The 23,390-nt window shown below is 35.0% G+C and overlaps 1 long non-coding RNA gene across 6 annotated transcripts in view, besides 1 other annotated feature; it reads right to left on the bottom strand.

Annotated features, from left to right (window-relative positions):
* The window catches only part of LOC105372733 (uncharacterized), a 123,425-nt gene that overhangs the window by 95,066 nt on the left and 4,969 nt on the right, over nucleotides 1-23,390 (bottom strand). The window contains exon 2 of one of the 6 annotated variants that reach the window (XR_007067819.1): nucleotides 13,078-13,902. The exons of the other annotated variants lie outside the window; for them this stretch is intronic. This is a non-coding gene — a long non-coding RNA (uncharacterized LOC105372733). Of the gene's footprint in view, nucleotides 1-13,077; nucleotides 13,903-23,390 lie in introns of those variants that run through there. 6 annotated transcript variants of the gene reach the window in all.
* Nucleotides 11,216-11,416: a silencer, noted in NCBI's record as "peak4341 fragment used in MPRA reporter construct". NCBI's record gives its function as "represses an SCP1 promoter by STARR-seq MPRAs in K562 erythroleukemia cells {active_cell/tissue: K562}" and the evidence as "EXISTENCE:reporter gene assay evidence [ECO:0000049][PMID:32103011]".

Raw genomic sequence — 23,390 nt, forward strand, 5'->3', positions numbered from 1 at the left:
TTTACCATAAAAATGGCAGTATCTTTTTGTACAGATGCTACCTCTGAATCAAAGCCTTTCAGCAACTGGCAACAGGAAGCTCTAATGCACTTTATCCCTAATAGTTATAAAATATGCAATCATCTGAAATCACATATTGATTTCATATTGATTTCCACTTCTTTTCTAACTACGGTTATACGTAAATATTTCACTTTCAAAAATAGATCTTTGCCTTTTTATTTAGTTTTTTTTTCCTTGGCTTAGAAATAGTTTTTATGAAATATTCAAATATAAAAATAGTCTGTAAAAGCAAAGTATGGTTCTTTTTCAGCCAAAACACTTTCCCCTAAGCATTTCATTAGTTATATAAGTGATAAATGTTTTTCTGAATGGGAATTTACCTAAAGTGTTTCAAAATTAGGTGACCATTTGTGCTTTCCAAACCATACAGAACTTTATATTTATTCCTGGGTAAATCACCCATTTCCTTGTTCATCAAGATCAGGTGAAATGATATCCATATGAGATAATTAATTCCTCTGCTATCTATTTTATTATACTTAGTTATCCATTGAAAATAAATATCTACTATAACAAGTAAAATATATAATAGTGTAGAAGACAACAAGAGTATGTGTTTGCAGTATGTGTAATAGAGTTAAATATATCTAAATATAGTATGTCTGTATTAAGGCAATGAACATCAATTTTAGCTAATCACCCTCATTAAAGCAAAGGGCACTACCATATGTGACATAGTTATCATTGACAGTCTGATAAATCTTGTAGCTGAGGTAACGGACAGGGAAGAGTTTGTGATAGTGAAATTTGTAGAACTAAGATCAAATTACCAAATACGTAGGCATTATTAAACAAATTCTCACCAATTACTTCAAAAATATTGTAACTTCTATTTAATATTTCTTGTTTTTAATCTTAAAAACTCTAAATTGAGTAGAATTTGAAATAGCAGTAAATTTCAGGTTAATGGAAATAAAATCACACTTGTTATTATTGTTCAATTTTTTTTATTAAGTCTGAAGAAATATTTAATTGAATATGACATCTAAGAATGATGGACAAAAGCTTTTTTTCTTTCCACTCCTTTTTCTGAAAGCTTTGATACAAAAATCATTTGACACAAATGATTTTTTTGTGTGTGACAGGATCTTACTATGTTGCCCAGGCTGAAGTGCAGTGTGCTCATGCAATCCTCCCATCTCAGCCTCCTGAGTAGCTGGGACTACAGGCACATGCCGCCATGCCCAGCTAATTTTTGTATCTTTAGTAGAAACAAGATTTTGCCACATTGCCCAGGCTGGTCTCCAACTCGTGGGCTGAAGTGATCTGCCCACCTTGGCCTCCCAGTGTTCTGGGATTACAGGAGTGAGCCACTGTACCCGGCTGATGCAAATGATTTCTATTATTAATATCTTGCAGTTATTCTTCCATCAGATAACCATCAATGTCAAAATAAAGATTATTAATTACTGAAGGACTGAAAAATCAAAAATCAACTTCATGAGATGCTTTACAAACAAGTGATCTCTTTTAATATTTGACTCAGTAAAATTTTTTAAGAAAAGTTAAGTTTGTGTTTTTATTTGTGTATACTCTCTAGTGCTTAAATGTATCAGGATAGAACTTTTCTAAACTAGGTCAGTCTTTTTTCTATATCTATGGTTGAATACTTCAGTTAAATAAAGCAATGGTAGATAGCAAACTATGTTATAATTGGCATTTTGGGCACTTGCTGCAATTAATTGCCAAAAAAAGCATATCTCACCACAATTGATCTCTCATTTTTCCACTCTCATTTATTTCCCTTCACTTTCTTCTTGGCTTCTGCAAAAGCATTTGTTTTTCCTTTTTCTTTCTTCTTTAAAAAAATATATTTGAAGAGATTTACTCTAAGCCAAATATGAGTCACCATGGCCAGTGACACAGCATTCAGGAGGTCCTGAGAACATGTGCCCAAGGTGGTTGGGAGGCAGCTTGCTTTTATACATTTTAGAGAGGCATGAGACATCAATTAACTACACTTGAGAAATACATCAGTTTGATCCAGAAAGGTGGGACAACTCAAAGCAGAGGGAGTGGGGGTGGGAGGGGTTGGGGGTGGCAGGGGGGTTGGGGGATGGGAGGGTATTGGGGTTTGGGGGTTGGTTCCAGGCTATAGGTGAATTTAAACATTTTCTGGTTGATAATTGGTTGAGTTTGTTTCAAGACCTGGGATTGATAGAAAGGGAATGTTCAGGTTAAGATAAAAGATTGTGGAGACCAAGGTTCTTTTGAAGTCATAACAGTGGCTGCCGTTAGAGACAATAAATGACAAGTGTTTCCTATTCAGATCTTTAAAAGGTACTAGACTTTTAGTTAATCTCTTTAGGACTGGGAGGGCCGTTTTTACATATTATAATTTATCTCCTTCATGTCTGTAACGAAGATAGGAATCGCTATAAAGTGTCTTCCCAGTTTCTGCCTAACCACATCCCTGGATTTCCTGGCCCCTGGCTTGGCATATGTTTGGGGTTAGCCTTCTCCCACTGCTAATTTGTATGCCATAAGATGGTTGTTTTGTTCCTCAGTACATTTATGTCAGATATAATTGTTACTGTAGTAAACAACTATTGTGTAAAACAATGATAAGTGAGTGTGAAAGTAAAAAAACAAATCAGAAAATGAAGCAGAATGTAAATAATTGATAAAGACAAGTTCTGAAAAAATGTCAAATTGGATTTAGGAGTCAGACACCTGTAAGAGGTTTATTTGAGGGGCTAAGCGTGCTGGTATTTACACACATATTACTTCTTGTGTCTCTTCAATTTATTGGTTCATTTCAAAAAACCAAAGCTAAAAATCATAAAATATTCATTATGTAAAAAAAAGAATGTTCAATGAATCCATACATACATACCGAAGACCTTTGTCAGATAGTTGACAAGTATATTTGCATATATGTTTTCCAAGGTAAAAGAAAATTTGTGGCTGGGCACGGCAACTCATGCCTGCAATCCCAGCATTTCAGGAGGCCAAGGCCGGTGGATCAGCTGAAGTCAGGCATCCAAGACCAGCCTGGCCAACACGGTGAAACCCCATCTCTACTAAAAATACAAAAAAATAGCTGGGCGTGGTGGCTGGCACCTGTAATCCCAGCTACTTGGGAGGCCGAAGCAAGAGAATTGCTTGAACCCGGGAGGCAGAGTTTGCAGTAAGCTGAGATCAAGCCACTGCACTACAGCCTGGGCAACAAGAGTGAAACTCTGTCTCAAAAAAAAAAAAAAAAAAAAGAAAAAGAAAAAGAAAAAAGACAATTTGTAGGATATGGATAAGTAATTCATTTTAGAAGAATTTTTTTTTGTAGAATGATTTGTGCTAAAGCAATACATCTCTTTCTATCATATACTGATATCTTGAAAATTTTATAACGTTTCTTGTCACTTTCAGTATTTTAAAAATAGGATTGATTCTAAGTTTTGAGTTTATGGTGCATTTGAATATTAGAGATATTATCTCATACATTTCAAAGTTTTGCTGCATTCTAAACTCAGTCCTGCCTTAGCCTTAGTAATGGCAATGAAGTGCGGGGATAGAATGTTCACTATTTTTTTATGTGCTGTTAAAATTTCATACCTCCTGTTCTATCTTGAAGTCTTACAGTTTTGGAATGGTGAGTGGGGGAAACAAGCATAAAACTATTACATAATTCATGTAGTTTTCACTGGGCAACAGTATCTATCCTCTGAATGGTGAAATGGCTACTTTTCATTTATTTATTTTTTTCTTTCCTGGGGTAAAACGCTTGAAAACTGCACCACTGGGAAATTGCAGCTATAGTCCATGTTTCAACATAGTCCATGCTTCTTTGAGTTGGCCACTTAATGTTTACTCTCATCTCCTTAGGTTTAGCAGTAAAGACCAGTAAGATTTCTTCTGTTAGGATCATCTAGCCATTCCAAACATTTCTCTTAGATTTGATTCTTTCAAGACAAATCAACCCAATAAAAAGCTCATAAATAACGGTGATCTAGCTACCACATTTGATGTTCTCATCTGACCAAACCAAATTTTATGTATACATTCAATTCTCAATCCAACCTAGTCTGTTTGCCTAAACCATTCCAGACAAACTTCCACTTCGAAGGTTTTAAATGCATAAGTCAGATAGCAATCCTTCAGTTGCCCCAGAGGCACATCACGTTCTTTGAATGCTTCATTATAGTCCTCTTCATTTAGCAATCAGTGAGGCAATACACTGGCATCATGATCCCTTTTTTTAGGAACTCTGTACAAAATTCCCTTTGAAAATATAAATTTTGGAAATGAGTGATGAGCAAAGGGGTTTCATTAACATTATCACAATCTCTTGATATATCTGCTTGATAATGTAGCACCTATTATTTGGGGCCATTAGGACCTTGGCTGAAATTCTGGTAAATGTAAAGAAACCACATTTAACATCCAGTTAATTTAATTTTTGTTTGTTTGTTTGTTTTGTTTTTGTTTTTGTTTTTGAGACGTTGTCTTACTATGTCACCCAGGCTAGAGTGCAGTGGTGTGATCTCGACTCACTGCAACCTCCACCTCCACCTTCTGGGTTCAAGCAATTATCTTCCTCAGCCTGGGATTACAGGAACCCACCACCATGCCCACCTAATTTTGTATTTTTAGTAAAGACGGGGTTTCACTATCTTGGTCAGGCTAGTCTTGAAGGCCTGACCTCGTGATCCACCTGCCTCGACCTCCCAAAGTGCTGGAATTACAGGCATGAGCCACCTTGCCTGGCCTCAATATTGTTTTTAATAATTTCTGCTTTACTTGCAGTTAATCCTATCAGGCCTTCTACCATACCCAGTTGTGTCAGCAAGATCTGTACAATGATAAGTAACACATGGCTCCCAGGGCTAAACATATTCCTAACACTTATATAAACACTTTTTCAGAAATTTGACAATATTTTATAATTAAACAATATCTTATTTTACAAGAAAAGATATGGTATCACAATACTCTGAGCAAAGAGTTAATTTGCTTCTCAAATTTCCTAGATAATGAAGTAGTCCTAAAATATTTAACTCAGTATTGGTAATAGTTTCAATTTGAGGAAGTGTTCTGAATAGCCTTTTTAATGCTGATGTCATAAGATTGTGTTACAAACACACTTTCATTTAAAGACACTTTATTTTTAATTTTGTTCTAAAAACTAAAATTATATATAAATACACATGCATCCTAAACTATATATGTATAATATACATATATGTATATATATACACACAGAGAGAGAGAGAGAGAGAAGGAGAGAGAAACAGAGACAAAGAGAGCCATAAATCCTGAATTTGTTGTTGTCAGTGGTGTTTGATAGCATCACTTTTTAACTCAATAGGATGTATCTGCACAAAGCTAAAATTAATTTATTTTTGCCATACAAGGCAAGTGTATCTTGTTGATGTCTATAGAGAAAATAAATCACCCTCTAAAGAACGGTTTATAAATAAATAATTGATATCTGAAAATTCAGAAAAAAATACCACTATCATTTTACTTACCATATTGCATTGAAATTATATGTTTATGCTTCTCTTGCTTCTACCTCTCTGTGAATTCAAGGTTAGAAAAGGAGAAATTTTTATCTTAGCATTCCCAGGACCAATCACAATATCTAATACTTACAGCATGCAATAAATGTTGGTTGAACTAAAATAAATCTGATATAAAAACAAATAATGCTTTAGGGAAGTGATTTTTCATTTGAGATTATTTTCTCAGAAAAATTAACATGACCAGGTTGTCATCCTATGCAAACATTAGTATGCCTTATTGATTTTTCACTAAGTTATATAGCTTATATTATAAGACTTTTTTATGGGTGTCTCTACCTATAGATTCCAGGCACTAACAAACGTGTAGAAACTCATAAATTTAATGCATTTTATCAAGTTGATTAATATAGCATGAACATTTTTCAACTGGCTTCACAAATCATTTATTGTTAAATGTTATTCTTATACCTGTATTAGAGAGAAAAAAGCCAGAGGTGGCAAGGTGATATACAGATCAACTGGAAATCCACAAGTTTTGGTTTGGAACTCTTTGGAAAATTGAATAAAGAGTCACACCTTGCTCAAAACTGAATCAGTAAAAGTGATGTACATATCAATAAACAAACTAATAAAAAAGCATTAAAAATATAGTCAGCATATATTTTTCTGGAATATAAAATTGAGGAACTAGAATAATTCAACTTGAATAAGTGTAACTAATTCATTTTCTGCAAAATATTACCCAGAGATTGAGTATTTTTCTATTTATTCTATTGGAAAAAAATGATATACCACTGTACTGGAAATATTCAGAAAAGTTTGTCTATTTTTTAAAATTGTACTTATTATACCTTTATAACCGTGAGATAATATATTTATTATTTGAATGAGAATAAATGTTTATGATTTATACAAACATGCCTGACACAGACTACTATGCCCACAAAAGTTGAATGGTTGTTTTTAGCTTATATATACCTATACGGGTTAATAGATATATCTTTACTTCTTTTTTCTTTTTTTTTGAGACAGAGTCTCACTCTGCAGCCCAGGTTGGAGTGCAGTGACATGATCTCGGCTCACTGCAACTCCGCCTCCCATGTTCACGCTATCCTCCTACCTCAGCCTCCTGAATAGCTGGGACTACAGGTGCCCGCCACCACGCCCGTCTTATTTTTTGTATTTTTAGTAGCGATGGGGTTTCACCGTGTTAGCCAGGATGGTCTCAATCTCCTGACATTGTGATCTGCCTGCCTCAGCCTCCCAAAGTGCTGGGATTATAGGCGCGAGCCACCGCACCCGGCCAATATATCTTTACTTCTTATAAGAAATGAGTAACTTTATTAATTCTACCAACAGATAACATTCTTCCTCTCAGAGAGTAATATGCAATCATTTCCTAACCTTATTTTATTGCGCTATATTTTAAATATAATAAACGTGTCAAAAATGTGGTTTCGTACTTTTTATAAATTGATATATTTACCTAATTACACTAAATCTAGAAAATACTATTGTGCTTATTCAAACTTCTCTTCTCTTCTTCAGAGGCAAACCTGTATAACTTCTTTGGTTTGTTTGTTTTAAGACGTAGTCTTACTCTGTTACCCAGGCTAGAGTGCAGTGGTACAATGTGAGGTCACTGCAACCTCCGCCTCCCGGGTTCAAGCGATTCTCCGGCTTCAGCATCCCAAATAACTCGGATTAAACCCTTATAATTTCTATCATGATTGATTAATTTTGTTCATCTTCAAATTCCAATAATTAGAATTCCTACAGGATGTGTGTGTGAGTGTGTATCTGGTTTATTTTCTTTAGCATAAATAAATATTTGAGATTTAGCCAAATATTTGTGTGTATCATTTGTTTATTTTTCCTCATATTTCTGAGTTGCCTATGTATTTGTCAGAGTTTGCTTATTCATTAGTCTGTTAGTGAATATTCAGATTGCTTTCAGAATTAGCTTTTACAAATAAAGGACTTAGGTGCATTCTCAAACAGGTTTTTGTGTAAATATATGCTTTTATTTTTGTTGGATAAATTTCTAGAATTGAAATTGCTGTGCTATAGGGTAGATATATGTTGGCCTTATTTAGAAGCGAATTATTTTTCAAAGCGGTTGTTCCGCTTTTTTTTTTTTTTTTTTTTTTTTTTTTTTTTTTTTGAGACAGTCTCGCGCTGTCGCCCGGGCTGGAGTGCACTGGCGTGATCTGGGCTCACCGCAAGCTCCACTTCTCAGGTTCACGCCATTCTCCTGCCTCAGCTTCCTGATTAGTTGGGACTACAGGCGCCCGCCACCACACCCGTCTAATTTTTTTTTTTTTTTGTATTTTTAGTAGAGACGGGGTTTCACCATGTTAGCCAGGATAGGCTCGATCTCATGACCCCGTGATCCACCCGCCTCGGCCCCCCAAAGTGCTGTGATTACAGGCATGAGCCACCGCGCCCAGCCGGTTGTTCTATTTTACACTCTCACAAGAAATAGACATGACTTCTAGTTTCCCCACATATTTGCCAATATTAGTATTATCATTTTAAATGGTAGTCTTTCCAGTTTCAATGCATTTTGGTTGCATTTCCCCTTATCTAATAATATTGAGCATCTTTTCACATTCCTATAAGCCACTTGTATCTCTTGTTTTGTGAAATACCTGTTCAAGATTCTTATAACTATTTAGTGGATCTCAGGAGTACTCTGTGCGTTTTGAACACGCAATTTTTTTCTCATACATATATGGAATAATTTATCACAGTCTATGGCTTAAAATTATATTTTCTTACATTTTGCAGTTTTATTAGGATACATTTTTAATTAATATCTACAATTTATCAATTTTTAATCTTATGATAGTGCTTTCTCTGTTCAGAAATATTTTTCCTATTATAATAGCTCACAGATATTGTTTAATTTTTTTCTTTTAAAAGCTTTCTGAATTTTGCTTTTTCATTTTTATGCCTACATTAAAAATATCGGATTAGTTTTGTGTATACAAAGGACTGATGCATGTATTTTTTTAATATGAGAATGCATTTATTTCAAAAGCCTTTGTTAAAGACTTACTTTCCCCACTGAATTATCTACATGCCCTTATAAACATTTAATTTACTGCATAGGTGGAGGTCTAATTTTGAACCCATCTTTATCCTTATTATTTTTGTGTTATGATGCTTTGATACTGCAGCTTTCTTAGATGTCTGAAAATTGGCTCTATTTTTTTCTCAAAATTCTAGGTCCTATGAATTTTCTAAACAAATTTTGGAAACAGCTTGTGAATTTCTCTCAAAATGTTTGCCACAATTTACTATAGAGTTGTAGTAAATAGATATAGAATTCATTGTAGTCAATAAATTACAAACTATAGATTGCATTGATGCTTTTTTTTTTTTTTGAGACAGAATCTCACCTTGTCACCCAGGTTGGAGTGCAGTGGCACAATCTCGGCTCACTGCAACCTCAGCCTCCCAGATTCAAGCAATTATCCTGCCTCAGCCTCCTGAGTAGCTGGGAATACAGGCCCGTGCCACCATGCCTGGCTAATTTTTTTGTATTTTTTTTTAGTAGAGACAGGGTTTTATCATGTTAGCCAGTATAGTCTTGATGTCCTGACCTTGTGATCCACCCACCTTGGCCTCCCAAAGTGCTGGGATTACAGGCATGAGCAACCGCGCCCAGCCCCTACTGCATTGATTCTAAAGATTAACTTCCAGAGAATTCACATCAAACAATGTTGCATCTTCAAATCTATGAATATGGTAGTTCTTTACATTTATTTAGGTCTTCTGTAATGTTTCTCTACAAGAAATTTTAAAAAGTTTTAGAGTGAAAGATTTTTAAAGGTTTCACTTAAATTATTCTTAACTATTTTTATACCATTAAAATTTTACTTTTAAATGTATTCTCAATTGTTTATTTCTAGTATTTAGAAATTCCATTAATTTTACATATTGTATTTTATGTATTGACCTTGCATTCTACACATTCTGCACCATTATTGAATTTGATTCTTATTATTCACAGCTTTTTAAATAAATGTATTAGGATTTTCTTCATACACAATATACATACATAAGTTCTGTGAATAAAAATATTTTTTCTTTTCACTTTTCAATTTTTATGCTTTTCATTTCTTGACCCCATGCAAATCTGAAATCCAGAGGGGCAGCCAAATCTTAAAGCTCCAAAATGATCTCCTTTGACTCCATGTCTCACATCCTGATCATGCAGATGCAAGAGGTGGGTTCCCATGGTATTGGGCAGCTCTGCCCCTGTGGCTTTGCGGGATATAGCCTGCCTTCTGGCTGCTTTTGTGGGCTGGTGTTGAGTGTCTGTGGCTTTCCCAGGCACATGGTGTTGTTGGTGGATCTAACATTCTGAGGTCTGGAGGATGGTGGCCCTCTTCCCACAGGTCCACCAGGCGGTGGTGCCCCAGTAGGGACTCTGTGTGGGGGCTCCCACCCAACATTTCCCTTCCTCACTGCCCTAGCAGAGGTTGTCAATGAGGGCCCCATCCCTGCAGCAAACTTTTGCATGGGCATCCAGGTGTTTCCATATATCTTCTGAAATCTAAGCAGATGTTCCCAAACCTCAATTCTTGATTTCTGTGCATCCACAGGCTCAACACCACATGGAAGCTGCCAAGGCTTGGGGCTTCCACCCTATGAAGCAACAGCTCAAGCTGTACTTTGGTCCCTTTTAGTCACAGCTGGAGTGGCTGGGATGCAGGGCACCAACACCCTACACTGCACACAGCATGGGGACCCTGGGCCCAGCAAAACCATTTTCCTCTAGGCCTCTGAGACTGTGATGGGAAGGGCTGCTGTGAAGACTTCTAACATGCCCAGGAGACATTTTCACCATTGTCTTGGGGATTGACATTCAGTTCCTTGTTACTTATGCAAATTTCTGCAGCCAGCTTAAATTTCTCCTCAGAAAATGGGTTTTTCTCTTCTATCACATTGTCAGGCTGCAAATTTTCTGAACTTTTATGCTCTGCTTGCCTTATAAACTGAAACTGAATGCCTTTAAAAGCACCCAAGTCACTTCTTCAATGCTTTGCTGTTTAGAAATTTCTTCTGTCAGATACCCTAATTCATCTGTCAAGTTCTAAGTTTCACTAATCTTTAGGGCATGGGCAAAATGCTGTCAGTCTCTTTGCTAAAACATAACAAGAGTCAACTTTGCTCTAGTTTCTAACAAGTTCCTCAACTCCATCTGAGACCACATCAGCCTGGATCTCATTGTTCACATCATTATCAGCGTTTTGGTCAAAGCCATTCAAAACGTCTCTAGGAAGTTCCAAACTTTCCTGCATTTTCCTGTCTTCTGCTGAGCCCTTCAAACTGTTCCAACCCCCGCCTGTTACGCAGTTCCAAAATTGCTTCCACATTTTCAGGTATCTTTTCAGCAGCATCCCACTCTACTGATACCAGTTTACTGTATTAGTCTGTTTTAATGCTGCTGATAAAGACATACCCAAGACTGGGCAATTGACAAAAGAAAAAAGGTTTAATTGGACTTACAGTTTCATGTAGCTGGGGAAGCCTCACAATCATGGTGGAAAGCAAAGAGGAGCAAGTCATAACTTACATGGATGGCAGCAGGCAAAGAGAGCTTGTGCAGGAAAACTCCCCCTTATAATAACCATCAGACCTCATGAGACTTACTCACTATCAGGAAAACAGCACAGGAAAAGCCTACCTCCATGATTCAGTTACCTCCCACCAGGTTCCTCCCAAAAGGTATGGGAATTCAAGATGAGATTTGGGTGGGGACACAGCCAAACCACATCAATGAAGCTCTCTGTCGTATATGTTAATGCTGATAATGTTTTTTTGTTTTGTTTTTGAGGAGATCTTAGAGACGAAAAAGGGGAAGCTCCATTAAAATTGGTAAAGGAAGAAACATAATATGAAAGGAGGGAAATAATGAGGTAAAAGATGCAGAGACTGCTTTCCAGACAAAGTAAGAATGAACTTCACTTTGGAATAACAAAGCAGTGCTTGCTTGGCAAGGTGAGTCTTAGAATCTGACTAACATCAACAGGGCAGAGTCTCAGGTAATTAACAAAACCAGGAAGGAACAGGGAGCAGCAATGCTAAAACACAAGAAACCAGGTTACTTTGTCCTACTTCATAGTTGTTATTTTCCTAATCATTGGAGATAAGCTATGATTAACAGAAAAACTACCCATGTAAAATATTGTCACCCAACTTTTAAGAAAAACAAGAAAGAAGATACAAAACTTAGCAAACAGAATAAGTAATTTCAGAGAATCAGAATTAAGACAAGAAACAAATGTAATTACAGTAAGTGTAATTCATATCTTCAGAGACATGCAAGAAGAGGTTGCATTTTAGAAAATACTGATAATAGCTCTTGGATTAAAAACTCAACAGATGTTCTGAAGAGAACAATAGACATAGTTAAATATAGATCTAGCAAGTTTGAAGTTTAAAAGTTGAATAATTTTCTCTGAATCCAATGGCTAGGATAAAATGAAGAAAGGTAAAGGGAGGTAAAGTGAAGATAAAGAATTGTTGACGTAAAGTTGTTTAAAATGCTAGAAAAAAAAGGAAAGTAAACATAAAGATGGAAATAATTAAAGAACTAATTTAAATATTTTTTAGAACTAGAAATACTGTAGACTTGAGATTTAAAGTTTTCATAGAAGTATGAACTTATATTAATGGAGAAATTCTACTGATAGACATCTCTTGAAGAAGCAATGGGATACTAACGATTAGGACAGAATCATAAAGACTTCCAGAGTAGGAGGATAGAAAGGTAATTTTCAATGGAATAAGAAGTAGATAGAAAAGAAAATTTATTCTTAAACATGTAGATGTTGTTAATAACTGGGACAAGACCATCAATGTCTGAAGAAATTCCAAAAATAAAATAATAAAATTAACAAACAGATTTTTAGAATTACATCTGGCAGTCATAGAGCGCAATAGCATACTTGAAAATAAGGAAAATATGGCCATTTTAATGATATTGATTCTTCCTATCCATGAGCATAGAATGTTTTTTCATTTGTTTCATCCTCTCTGATATCTTTGGTGTTTTTAGTTCTTACAGAGATCTTTCACCTCACTAGTTAGCTGTATTCCTAGGTATTTGATTCTTTTTGCAGCAATTGTGAATCAGATTGCATTCCTGATTTGGCTCTCCGCTTGACTCTTGTTGGTGTATGGGAATGCGAGTAATTTTTGTATGTTCTTTTTGTATCCTGAGACTCTGCCAAAGGTGTTTTTCATCTTAAGGAGCTTTCGGGCCTTAAGCTTTTGGGCCTATAAAGTTTTCTACATATAGGATCATGTAATCTACAGACAGGGATAGTTTGACGTCCTTTCTTCCTATTTGGGTACCTTTATTTCTTTCTCTTGCCTAACTGTTTTGGCAAGGACTTCCAATACTATGTTGAACAGGAGTGGTGAGAGAGGGCATCCTTGTCTTGTGCACAAAATACACTAAAATAAAATTGCTTAAAACTAGTGATAAAGAAAAATTCTCAAAGCAGCCAATGACAAAAACACGGTTTGCACAGAGGAACAAAAAATGCCAGCAAACATTTTATTGGAAACAAAGAAAATTAGAAGATAATGAAGCAACATCTTTAAAGTACTGGAAGATAAACATTGTCAGCTGGAAATTGTAGACTCAGAGAAACTATCTTTCAAGATGTAGGTGAAATAAAGATTTTGTTCTGGCACTTAGAACCTGAAATAAATCATCACCAGTAAAACAGCACTATAAAAAATGTTAAAGAAAATGTTTCAGGCAGACGTAAAATAATATCAAAAGGAAATTTGGATCTACATAGAAGAATGAAAAGCACTGGAAATGGTATCAACATGGTTAAATATATAAGATCCTTTTATTTCTGTTTGAATTCAATTGATTGTTTAAACAAGGGGTCAGCAAGCTATAGCTTCATGGGTGGACTGCCTGTTTATGTGAACAAATTTTTACTGAGATACATTCATGCTCATTTGTTTATGTATTATCAATGGGTGCTATAGAATTACAAAAGCAGAATTAAGTAGTTGTAACAGAGCCTAATGGCACACAAGCCTAAAATATTTAGCTTTTAAGGAAAGCATGTCCGGTTCTGGTGGCTCATGCCTGTAATCCCAGCATTTTGGGAGGCCGAGATGTGCGGATCACGAGGTCAGGAAATTGAGACCATCCTGGGCAACATGATGAAACCCCGTGTCTACTAAAAATACAAACATTAGCTGGGTGTGGTGGCATGTGCCTGTAATCCCAGCTACTCGGGAGGCTGAGGCAGGACAATCTCTTGAACCCGGGAGGCAGAGGTTGCAGTGAGCTGAGATGGCACTACTGCACTGCAGCCTGGTACAAAGCTAGACTCTGTCTCAAAAAAAAAAAAAAAAAAAAAGAGAGAGAAGAAAACAACATTATTAACCTCTAATTTAAACAAGAATAATAACAATTTATAATGAGTTTACAACATATATAAAAATAAATCACATGACAATAACAGAACAACAGTTAGGATAAAATAATGAAAATGTTGTTATTCATGATACTGTATGTAAAGTAGTATATTATAATTTGAAGGTAGAATGTGATGAGTTAAACATGTATACTACAAACTCAAAAGCAACCATTAAAATTAACAATATAGAGAGTTTTAATTCTCAAGTAAAAAAGGAGATAAGATGAAACCGTAAAATATATTTAATTCATAGAAAAGAAGGCAAACAAGAGGGAAAATAAGCAAAAAACAGATGGGATGGTAGGGGAAGCAAAATTTTATTACCATCTTCTTAGTTTTTTTTTTCCTCTGCTAAGCCTGAGAATTAAATTGATATAAGACAGATCAACAGGAAAATGCATACAAATTTATTTAATACATGTATTATGTGGCATGAGAGATTCTTTAAGGAAGGAAGACTCCATGACATAATCACTTATGTTCTGAAGTAGACACAGAGTAGTAAATTGTGAAATATGACAACACAAAGGAGCTGGAACTAGTGTAGTTAATTGGGTGAAGAGGTGATTAACAGGATAAGGGTTGGTTTAACAAGGTATGTTTGTACAGGTTTCCCTTGCCTCAACTTCTCATCCTGGGTGATGAGACTGTTACTTTCCTTCTTGTATAAAGAGGGCAACTTTCATGTAGAAATTTTACCTCCTACTTTTAAGAAAAAGGAAAATCAGAGTGCTTTAAAGGAAAATCAGAGTGCCTTAAAGGAAAATCAGAGTGCTTTAAAGGAAAGTCAGAGTGCTTTAAAGGAAAATCAGAGTGCTTTTCTTGCACCTGCTATTTTTCAAGTGTCTTTAACTCAAAAAAATCAATATGCCAAAGTGGCACGTTTCGGGGTATCTGGTTCTGAATTCCTTCAGGAAAGATAGAAAGCAAAAGCAAAATAATAGGTTTAAAACTAAAAATATCCAGGTGCGGTGGCTCACGCCTATAATCCCAGCACTTTGGGACACTGAGGTGGGCAGATCATGAAGTCAGGAGTTCGAGACCAGCCTGGCCAACATAGTGAAACCCTGTCTCTACTAAAAATACAAAAAATTAGCCAGGCATGGTGGTGGGCACCTGTAATGCCAGCTACTCAGAAGGCTGAGGCAGGAGAATGGCTTGAACCCAGGAGGCAGAGGTTGCAGTGAGCCAAGATCATCGCATTGCACTCCAGCCTGGGCAACAGAGCCAGACTCTGTCTCAAAAAAAAAAAAAAAAAAAAAAAAGAAAAAAAAAATATATGCACACATAACCACATTACATATAAATGGTCTAAATATACCAATTTAAAAGCAGATTGGATGAATAAAACAAGATCTAAGTTATTACTGTCTAGAAGAAATTCAAGAATATCCTAATAAAAGATATCTATGTAAAAACAATAGCTGGCATCATACTTAATGAAGAAAAATCAGTTTATTTCCCCCTATTTCAGGAACAAGATGAGTCCATTAACTCTTAGCACTTTGTTTTAACATTCCACTAGACGTTCTACCAAGTAAAATAGACAAAAAACATAAACAAAAGAATTACAGATGGGAAAGGAAAATGTAGATTGGTTTTATTTATAGACGGCATGTCTCTGTAGAAAGTCCACTGAAATCTACAAAAACACTGCTGGCTATAATAAGTGAGTTAGCAACATAAAAAAGAAAAAAAGCAACATATTAAACTAATATTTCCATATACCAGCAATGAACAATAAAAAATTAAAATAAAAGTACTATTAATAATATCATGAAAAATGTAGAAGAATTAGGAATTAATCTATCAAATGATGTGAGTCTGGTACACTAAAACTCAAAACACTGCAGAAAGTTAAAGAAGACTTAAATAAATGGAAAGATGTAATATGAATATGGGTTAGAAAATTCACATGGTAAAATGTGATTATCCCTAAATATAGATTCAATACAATACCAATTAAAATATTATTAGGCATTGTTTATAGGAATTTACACACTAATTTTAAAACTTCAGTAGAAATGCAAAGAGTCTAAAATAGCCAAAATAATTCTTAAAAATAAGAATATTTTTGAAGGATTAGCACAATCTAATGCCAAAGCTTATAAGGCTACAGTAATGAAAATAGTGTGATATTGGCATAAAGATAGACAGAAATGTCATTGGAAGATAATAGAAAATTCAGAAATATATGTACAGAATTTTGGTAAATTGGTGTTCTCCAAAGATACAAAGGTAATTCAGTAAATAAAAGATAGCCCTTCAACAAATTCTGCTGGAACAATTAGATGCTCATATGCAAAAAGTAGAACTTTAACACGTAACTCATGATACAAAAATTAATTTAGTACAGATCATATGCCTAAATGTAAAATGTAAAAACAAAGTGAAAAAAAGGAAGAAAAATTACGTATAGGAGAAAATATAGAAAAGTCTTTGACCTCAATACTACTTAGACATGACACAAACACCATGTTTCATCAAAGTAGAAATTGACAACTCGAGTTCATCAAAATGTAAAACATATGTTCCTCAGGAAACACTGTAAAACAAATAGAAATATAAGACACTACTGAGAACAATATTTGCAAAATATATGTCTGGCAAAAAAGTTGTGTCCAGAAAATATAAGAACTCTCAAAACTTGATAATAAATGTAGCAACTCTAATAAAAGTAGGCAAATGGCTTAAATGAATACTTCTTCCCTAAAGAACATATGTAGATAGAAAGTAAACACATGGAAAGATCCTCAATATCATTAGTCATTAGGGAATTGATCTGTGTCTGTCAAAAATGGGTTGGGTACAGTTGCTCAAGCCTGTAATCCCAGCACTTTGGAAGGTCAAGGCAGCAGGGTTTCTTGACCCCAGGAGTTAGAGAGCAGCCTGGGCAACGTAGTGAGATCCTGTCTCTACAAAAAAGAAAAAGACATGGCATGGTGTCTCTATTTAGCTAGGCATGGTGGCACATGCCTGTAGTACCGGCTACTCGGAAGCTGAGGTGGGAGAATCACTTGAGCCCAGGAGGTGGAGCCTGCAGTGAACTATGGTTGTGCCAATGCACTCCAGCCTGCGTGACAGAGCAAGAACCCATCTCAAAAAAGAAAAAAAGAGGCCAGGCACAGTGGCTCACACCTGTAATCACAGCACTCTGGGAGGTCAAGGTGGGTGGATCACCTGAGGTCAAGAGATCGAGACCAGCCTGACCAACATGGGGAAACCCCATCTCTACTAAAAATACAAAAATTAGCTGGGCATGGTGATGTGCGCCTATATCCCAGCTACTTGGGAGGCTGAGGCAGGAGAACTGTTTGAACCCAGGAGGTGTAGATTGCAGTGAGCCGAGATTGTGCCATTGCACATTGCACTCCAGCCTGGGCAACAAGAGTGAAACTTCATCTCAAAAAAAAAAAAAAAAAAAGAAAGAAAGAAAGAAAAAAGAATGGCTAAAGTTAAAAAGGCTGGCCATGCCAAGTGTTGGCAAAACTATAGAGGACAACCAACATACATGCACTGCTAATGGTAATGGAAATTAGTACAATGACTCTGGAAAAAGCCTTGTCAGTTTTTAAAATATTTTGACGTATGCACCTATCATATGACTGCCAATCAATTTGTAGGGAAATGAAAGTATATGTACATAAAAAACTTGTACCAAAACATTCACAGCACTTTTTTATGGGAGAGAGGGGCTAATAGTGAAGAGCATGTAACAATCAAATATTCATTAACAGATGAATGAATAAGCAAGCTTTGATATATCCATATTTTGAAATACTACAAGCAATAAAAGAAATGAAACTTTCATCCATACTATAAAATAGATTAATCTCAATAAATATGCTAATTAATAGATGCCAGATCAAAAGAGAACAGTATGATATCATTTATATAAAAAGAGGCATTAGAGCCTAGTAGTTAAGAGTGCAGCTTCTGGAAGCAAAATCCTTAGTATGATTTTGGCTCATTGTCTGCAGCATTTATTTTATGTGCGCTCTTGAGGTTTTTACAGAAACAATATGCCTCAGTTTACTCATCTATATAATGACTATATCGATAGTCATCTACTTTATAAAATATAGTATTTTATAATGTAATACTTTATAATATATATTTGATATATATTTTAAAATGTCTTTATTATATTTTATAAAGTATAAATAATATAAAATAATGTCTATAGTTGTTGACTTATAAAAATAAAGATTAAATAAACAAAAATATGTGAAGCACTAGTTTACTACCTAGAAAATGGTACATTTTAAATATTTTCATGATTGTAATAAATAAATGTATCCTTATAATGTTATTTTATTAATAATAAACAAAAATTTATTTTTAGAATAATGAATATTATAATTATTTTTATTTTTAGAATAAATAATAATGAATAATATTATTATAATAATATTATTATTCATTCTTATATACCTTTGAAAAATCATAGGGTAAGATGATTGAAATTCTGTGTATAGCATCTCAGCAGATGAGATATATAAGAAAGAACCATTGCACCCCCATTTACTTAAATCAGTTATAGTTTAAGTTGTTTGAAAAAAGTCATTTATTGGAATCACCACATGACATCAATCAAGAGCAAAGTGTGTAGAATACTGTCAAGTTTTTCTCCAAGAATTTATTTCTGTTTTCAATTTGCAACTCACTGAAGCATTGAACATTTTATGAGCTCTACAACTAACAATGCCTGGGAATTTAAATATTTTCCATGGAATATGATTACTTCAAATGAAAAAAAAGGAGCAGATATGATAATGAATAATTTACCATGCGTATATGGTACAAAGTAGAATCTTTAAAAATAAAGACACAAACAGCAACAACCACAAAAACCTCAATTGTTTCTGCTTTTGTTCTATTTTTAGTGAACTTAAAATTTTAAGAGAAACTCTTTCTCCTTGTTTTTAACACATGTAGAGAGAGGTGTGGAATATTGTAAAGCTTTTTATCTGATTCGGCCTGAGTCTCAATAGATGAAGATTCATCGAGTTTAGTAGGCCGAATAGTTTTTTCTAAAAGATATGTGACGCGTTAATCCTTGGAATCTTTGAATATAATGACACGTTAAACAGTGAATATTACCTTATACGGCAATGCTTGTGATTAAGTTAAGGACTTTAAGGGAAGGGGCTTATTCTGAAATATACTCACGGGTCTCTAATTCAATGACAAATGTTCTTTTTTTTTTTGAGATGGAGTCTTGTACTTTCGCCCAGGCTGGAGGGGTGCAGTGGTGCGATCTCTGCTCACTGCAACCTCTGCCTCCCGGGTTCAAGCAATTCTCCTGCCTCAGCCTCCTGAGGAGTGGGATTACAAGCGCCTGCCATCATGCCCAGATAATTTTTGTACTTTTATTCAAGGAAGGGTTTCACCATGTTAGCCAGGCTGGTCTCAAACTCCTGACCTCAAGTTATTCGCCCTCCTCGGCCTCCCAAATTGCTGGGATTACAGGCATGAGCCACTGTGCCTGGCCTGACAAATGTTTTTTTAAGAGTGAGTCAGAGGGAGACTTGACACACAGAAGAGGAGGCAATGTGACCAGGGAGCAGAGATTGGAGTGGCGCAGCCCCCAGAAGCTGGGGAAAAGGAATGCTGGCATGAGTAAAGGAATGCTGGCAGCCCCCAGAAGCTGGAAGATCCACAGAATGGATTCTCTCTAGGGACCTCAGAGCGAGTGTGGCCCCACTGTATTTAGGACTTCTAGCCTCTAGAACTGTTTTAGAATACATTGCTGTTGTTGAAGTCATTTAGTTTGTGTCAATTTGTTGTGATAGCCTAGGGAACTAATATAATGAAGCATGGAGAGAGAGAGAGAGAGAGAGAGAGAGGATAAAAGGTGAAAATCATGTGCCAAAACTAAAGAAAAGAGATGCTGACATTTGTGATTAAATAGAATAATTGCACTATTTAAGATTAATCACTTGAGCCTGGGAGGTGGAGGCTGTAGTGAGTCATCATGGTGCCACTGCATTCCAGCCTGCATGACAGAGAGAGACTCTGTCTTAGGAAAAAAAAAAAATTAAGGTGGTCCAGAATGCACCCAAGGATAAAATGCAAAGATGATCTTGCCCCATGTATGTTTTAGCATACTACTTAGGTACTATTTATTTTTTAATTATCTCCTTTTTACATTTTGACAATTTTATCCCAGTGGTCAAGCCTTGTATTAGAAAAGACAGAAAGAAGGAAAAGAAAGAAGGCAGGAAGGAAGGCAAGGGGAAGGAAAGGAAGTGGAAGGGAAGGGGAAGAGAAGGGGAAGAGAAGGGGAGGGGAAGGGGAGGGGAGGGGAAACGTTGCTTTGGACAGAATAAATGGGTAAGGGTTTCTATTTTAATTAGATTAAGATTAATTAGATTAAACCTCTGAGGAAGTCTTACTTGAGCTGAGAAACTAAATATGAGAGGGAGGAGTACCACTGCATTGGTTATAGATGGGGTAGAAGTCTACAAAAGAGTTCATTGAGGAATAGAGTAGTAAATAAGTGACTTAATGAGTTTGTGGCTGGGCGCAGTGGCTCAAACGTGTAATCCCAGCACTTTGGGAGGCCGAGGCGGGCGGATCACGAGGTCAGGGGATCAAGACCATCCTGGCTAACACGGTGAAACCCCGTCTCTACTAAACAAAATACAAGAAATTAGCCGGGCATGGTGGCGGGAGCCTGCAGTCCCAGCTACTCGGGAGGCTGAGGCAGGAGAATGGCGTGAACCCGGGAGGCGGAGGTTGCAGTGAGCCAAGATCACGGCACTACACTCCAGCCTGGGGGATAGAGCGAGACTCTGTCTCCAAAAAAAATAAAATAAAATAAAAAAATAATAATAATAATAATAATAATGAGTTTGTATTGTTCTTATTTTGCAAAAGAATGCAAGATCTGGGTAGAGAAAGGGCAAGAGGGAGGACTTCCCAGATGAATCAATAATATTAACAGTATCAATCTGCCACTAATAATTATTTAAGAAAAGTATTTTTCTGCTTTCAGTTTTATTTATTAAATAGTTTCTGCTAGCCTAATGTTAAAGTCTGCCAACTAGTTCCTTCAAGTTAATCACATTCACTTTTGATTCCCTCTTAACACATTAAGATATTTTATAACTCTGTGAGTTTAAAATCTGATGCAAATTCATTGTGGTCAGGCAAGATGCAAGACCAGTCGGGCAAATACACTTCCCTTATTTTTTATGGGTCTGAAATATCTTTTGTCTTGGGAGATGTATTATTATACAAAAGATCTATTTGGCAATTTATAGTTTGCTTTTTATCTATTCAATTGTTTCCTGGTATTCTTAGAACAGAAAAGCGAACCTTTTAAGAATAATAACATGCAAATTACCTTTAATTACTCTCTAGCTCTTTCAGTTAAACAAAAAAAAACCTCTCATTTTAGGTTCAGTTTGTAACTGAATAGAACATTTTATATCTAAACCCTTAATGGAAAGGCTTTCCTATTTCCCACAATTTTCTTTTCTATTTAATGTATTCTCTAAATTTAACACATTATTTAAAATGCCATCCATATACCTGATCAACTTGAAAAGATGGAGAAACACACAAGTAAAGCTTATTATCTGTTCACATTTTATTCTATGTTTCCATTTTCATAATCAAATAAATGTAGACTGCAAAATACTTATTTACAAATCTGTCTGATTTATATAATAAACTCTGAGGAAACTGGAATGAAGTAGTGCTACAAGCAAGGGACAGAATAAAGTTTTGTGTATTAATTACCTGATTTATACTTTAGTCCCTTTAAGTAAAAGAATGTAACAAATAGAAGGATAGTTATTAATATATTTGGAGGAGAAAGAAGGATAAAATGAAAGATACAATGTTCTTAAAAACCGAGAGTTTTATCTTTTTTCAGAAGTTTAAAAAATATTTAAACATTTCCCTTTATGTTAGCACATATTTATGTTATACATTTCATTTACAAGTAATTGTATGGTAAATAGTTACAAAAACAACAAGGAAAAGCTTTGAGTTAAGGAGCTCATGATTTTCAGTGTAAAATACATGTTATTTGAGTAATTTGGGAAACTGACAGAAGCTTTCTTGCAGTCAAGAATGCTGCTCAAAAATTAATTTTAAAATAAAAATAAAAGAAAAAAAATCCTGAAAGCTTATGTAGCAAAACAAGTATTGTAGTCCATTACAAAAATTAGCCTTTTCTGAAATCATGTTAAAAAGCAAAAAGATCTTAGAGCAGAATTTCATGTACAGTTCATTTTGGGATTGATCTTACTTCCTTGATAGGTGGTCTTACTTCATCCTGTTGGAGCCCATCATGGAGAGCTGTTTTACAAATATTCTTAGCTCTACTACTCACATAAAAATTCAACCTATGACTCCTGTTTCTGATAAAGTAGCTATTTAAATTCATTAAGAATGTTTCATCATTTTAGTATGCAAAATGCATTGTTAGATTATGTAAGTGACACATACTATCTTAAAAGTTAATAAATCTCCCAGAAGAAATTAGACTCAGATGCTATATTTATTATGGAGAATTAAGAAATACCTAAGGTTACTGTGATCATCACTTACGAGTTTTGAATCAATTATATGAGAAACTAAAGAAGAAGCTTTGACTGGAAAAAAAATGAACCAAAAAGAAAAAAATTATATAAAGTCATTTTATTGGACACACATGCTAAAAATTAGAAAAACCATACATTTTACTCTATCGATCTGTTAGGAAAAACTATAGAATATGATAGTGATTGCATTGATTCTACTTAGCAAATTAAATGCAAAACTAAGATATTCACCAAATATAAAATATAGTTATTTTCTAAGAAATAAAACTCACACATTCTGGTGGCAACTGCCATTTTTAGCAGAAACCAAAACTATTTCCTGTTAACATGAAGGAAAAACCATCATTGAACACTCAAGTAATAATCAGGGGACTAGGATGGACTTTCAATAAGAAACCACTGGAATATACCTGGACTAAATCTATTCTGACAAAATTAAGTATACCAACCGAATAGTTTTGTGTGTGCATTTGTTTTTACTATATACTTTTATAATCTCAAAAGTACCTAAAAGGAGGCAAAACAAGAAAGGATTTGTCTACAGAAAGTAAAAATAAGAATGATTATAAAATATTGTTAAAGAAAAGACACTGCACAGAATAGTCATGGAGATTTCTGTACTAATCACCTTGATCATAATGAATAATCACTGAATTTCACTGGCCTATTTTCCTCCACAAGATTCTATGTTAGGTAAGCAACTTTGGGTAATTCAATAATAGGAAAGATGTTTCTTTTATAACATATCTGATTTGTACAACTATTTGAAATACATTTTATGCTATAAAATAAAAATGGTAACTCTTATTTACACAGCTATTTATTGTGAATTTGTATAAAGA

The sequence above is a fragment of the Homo sapiens genome, chromosome 21 (assembly GCF_000001405.40).
Source record: "Homo sapiens chromosome 21, GRCh38.p14 Primary Assembly".
NCBI lineage: Eukaryota > Metazoa > Chordata > Mammalia > Primates > Hominidae > Homo > Homo sapiens.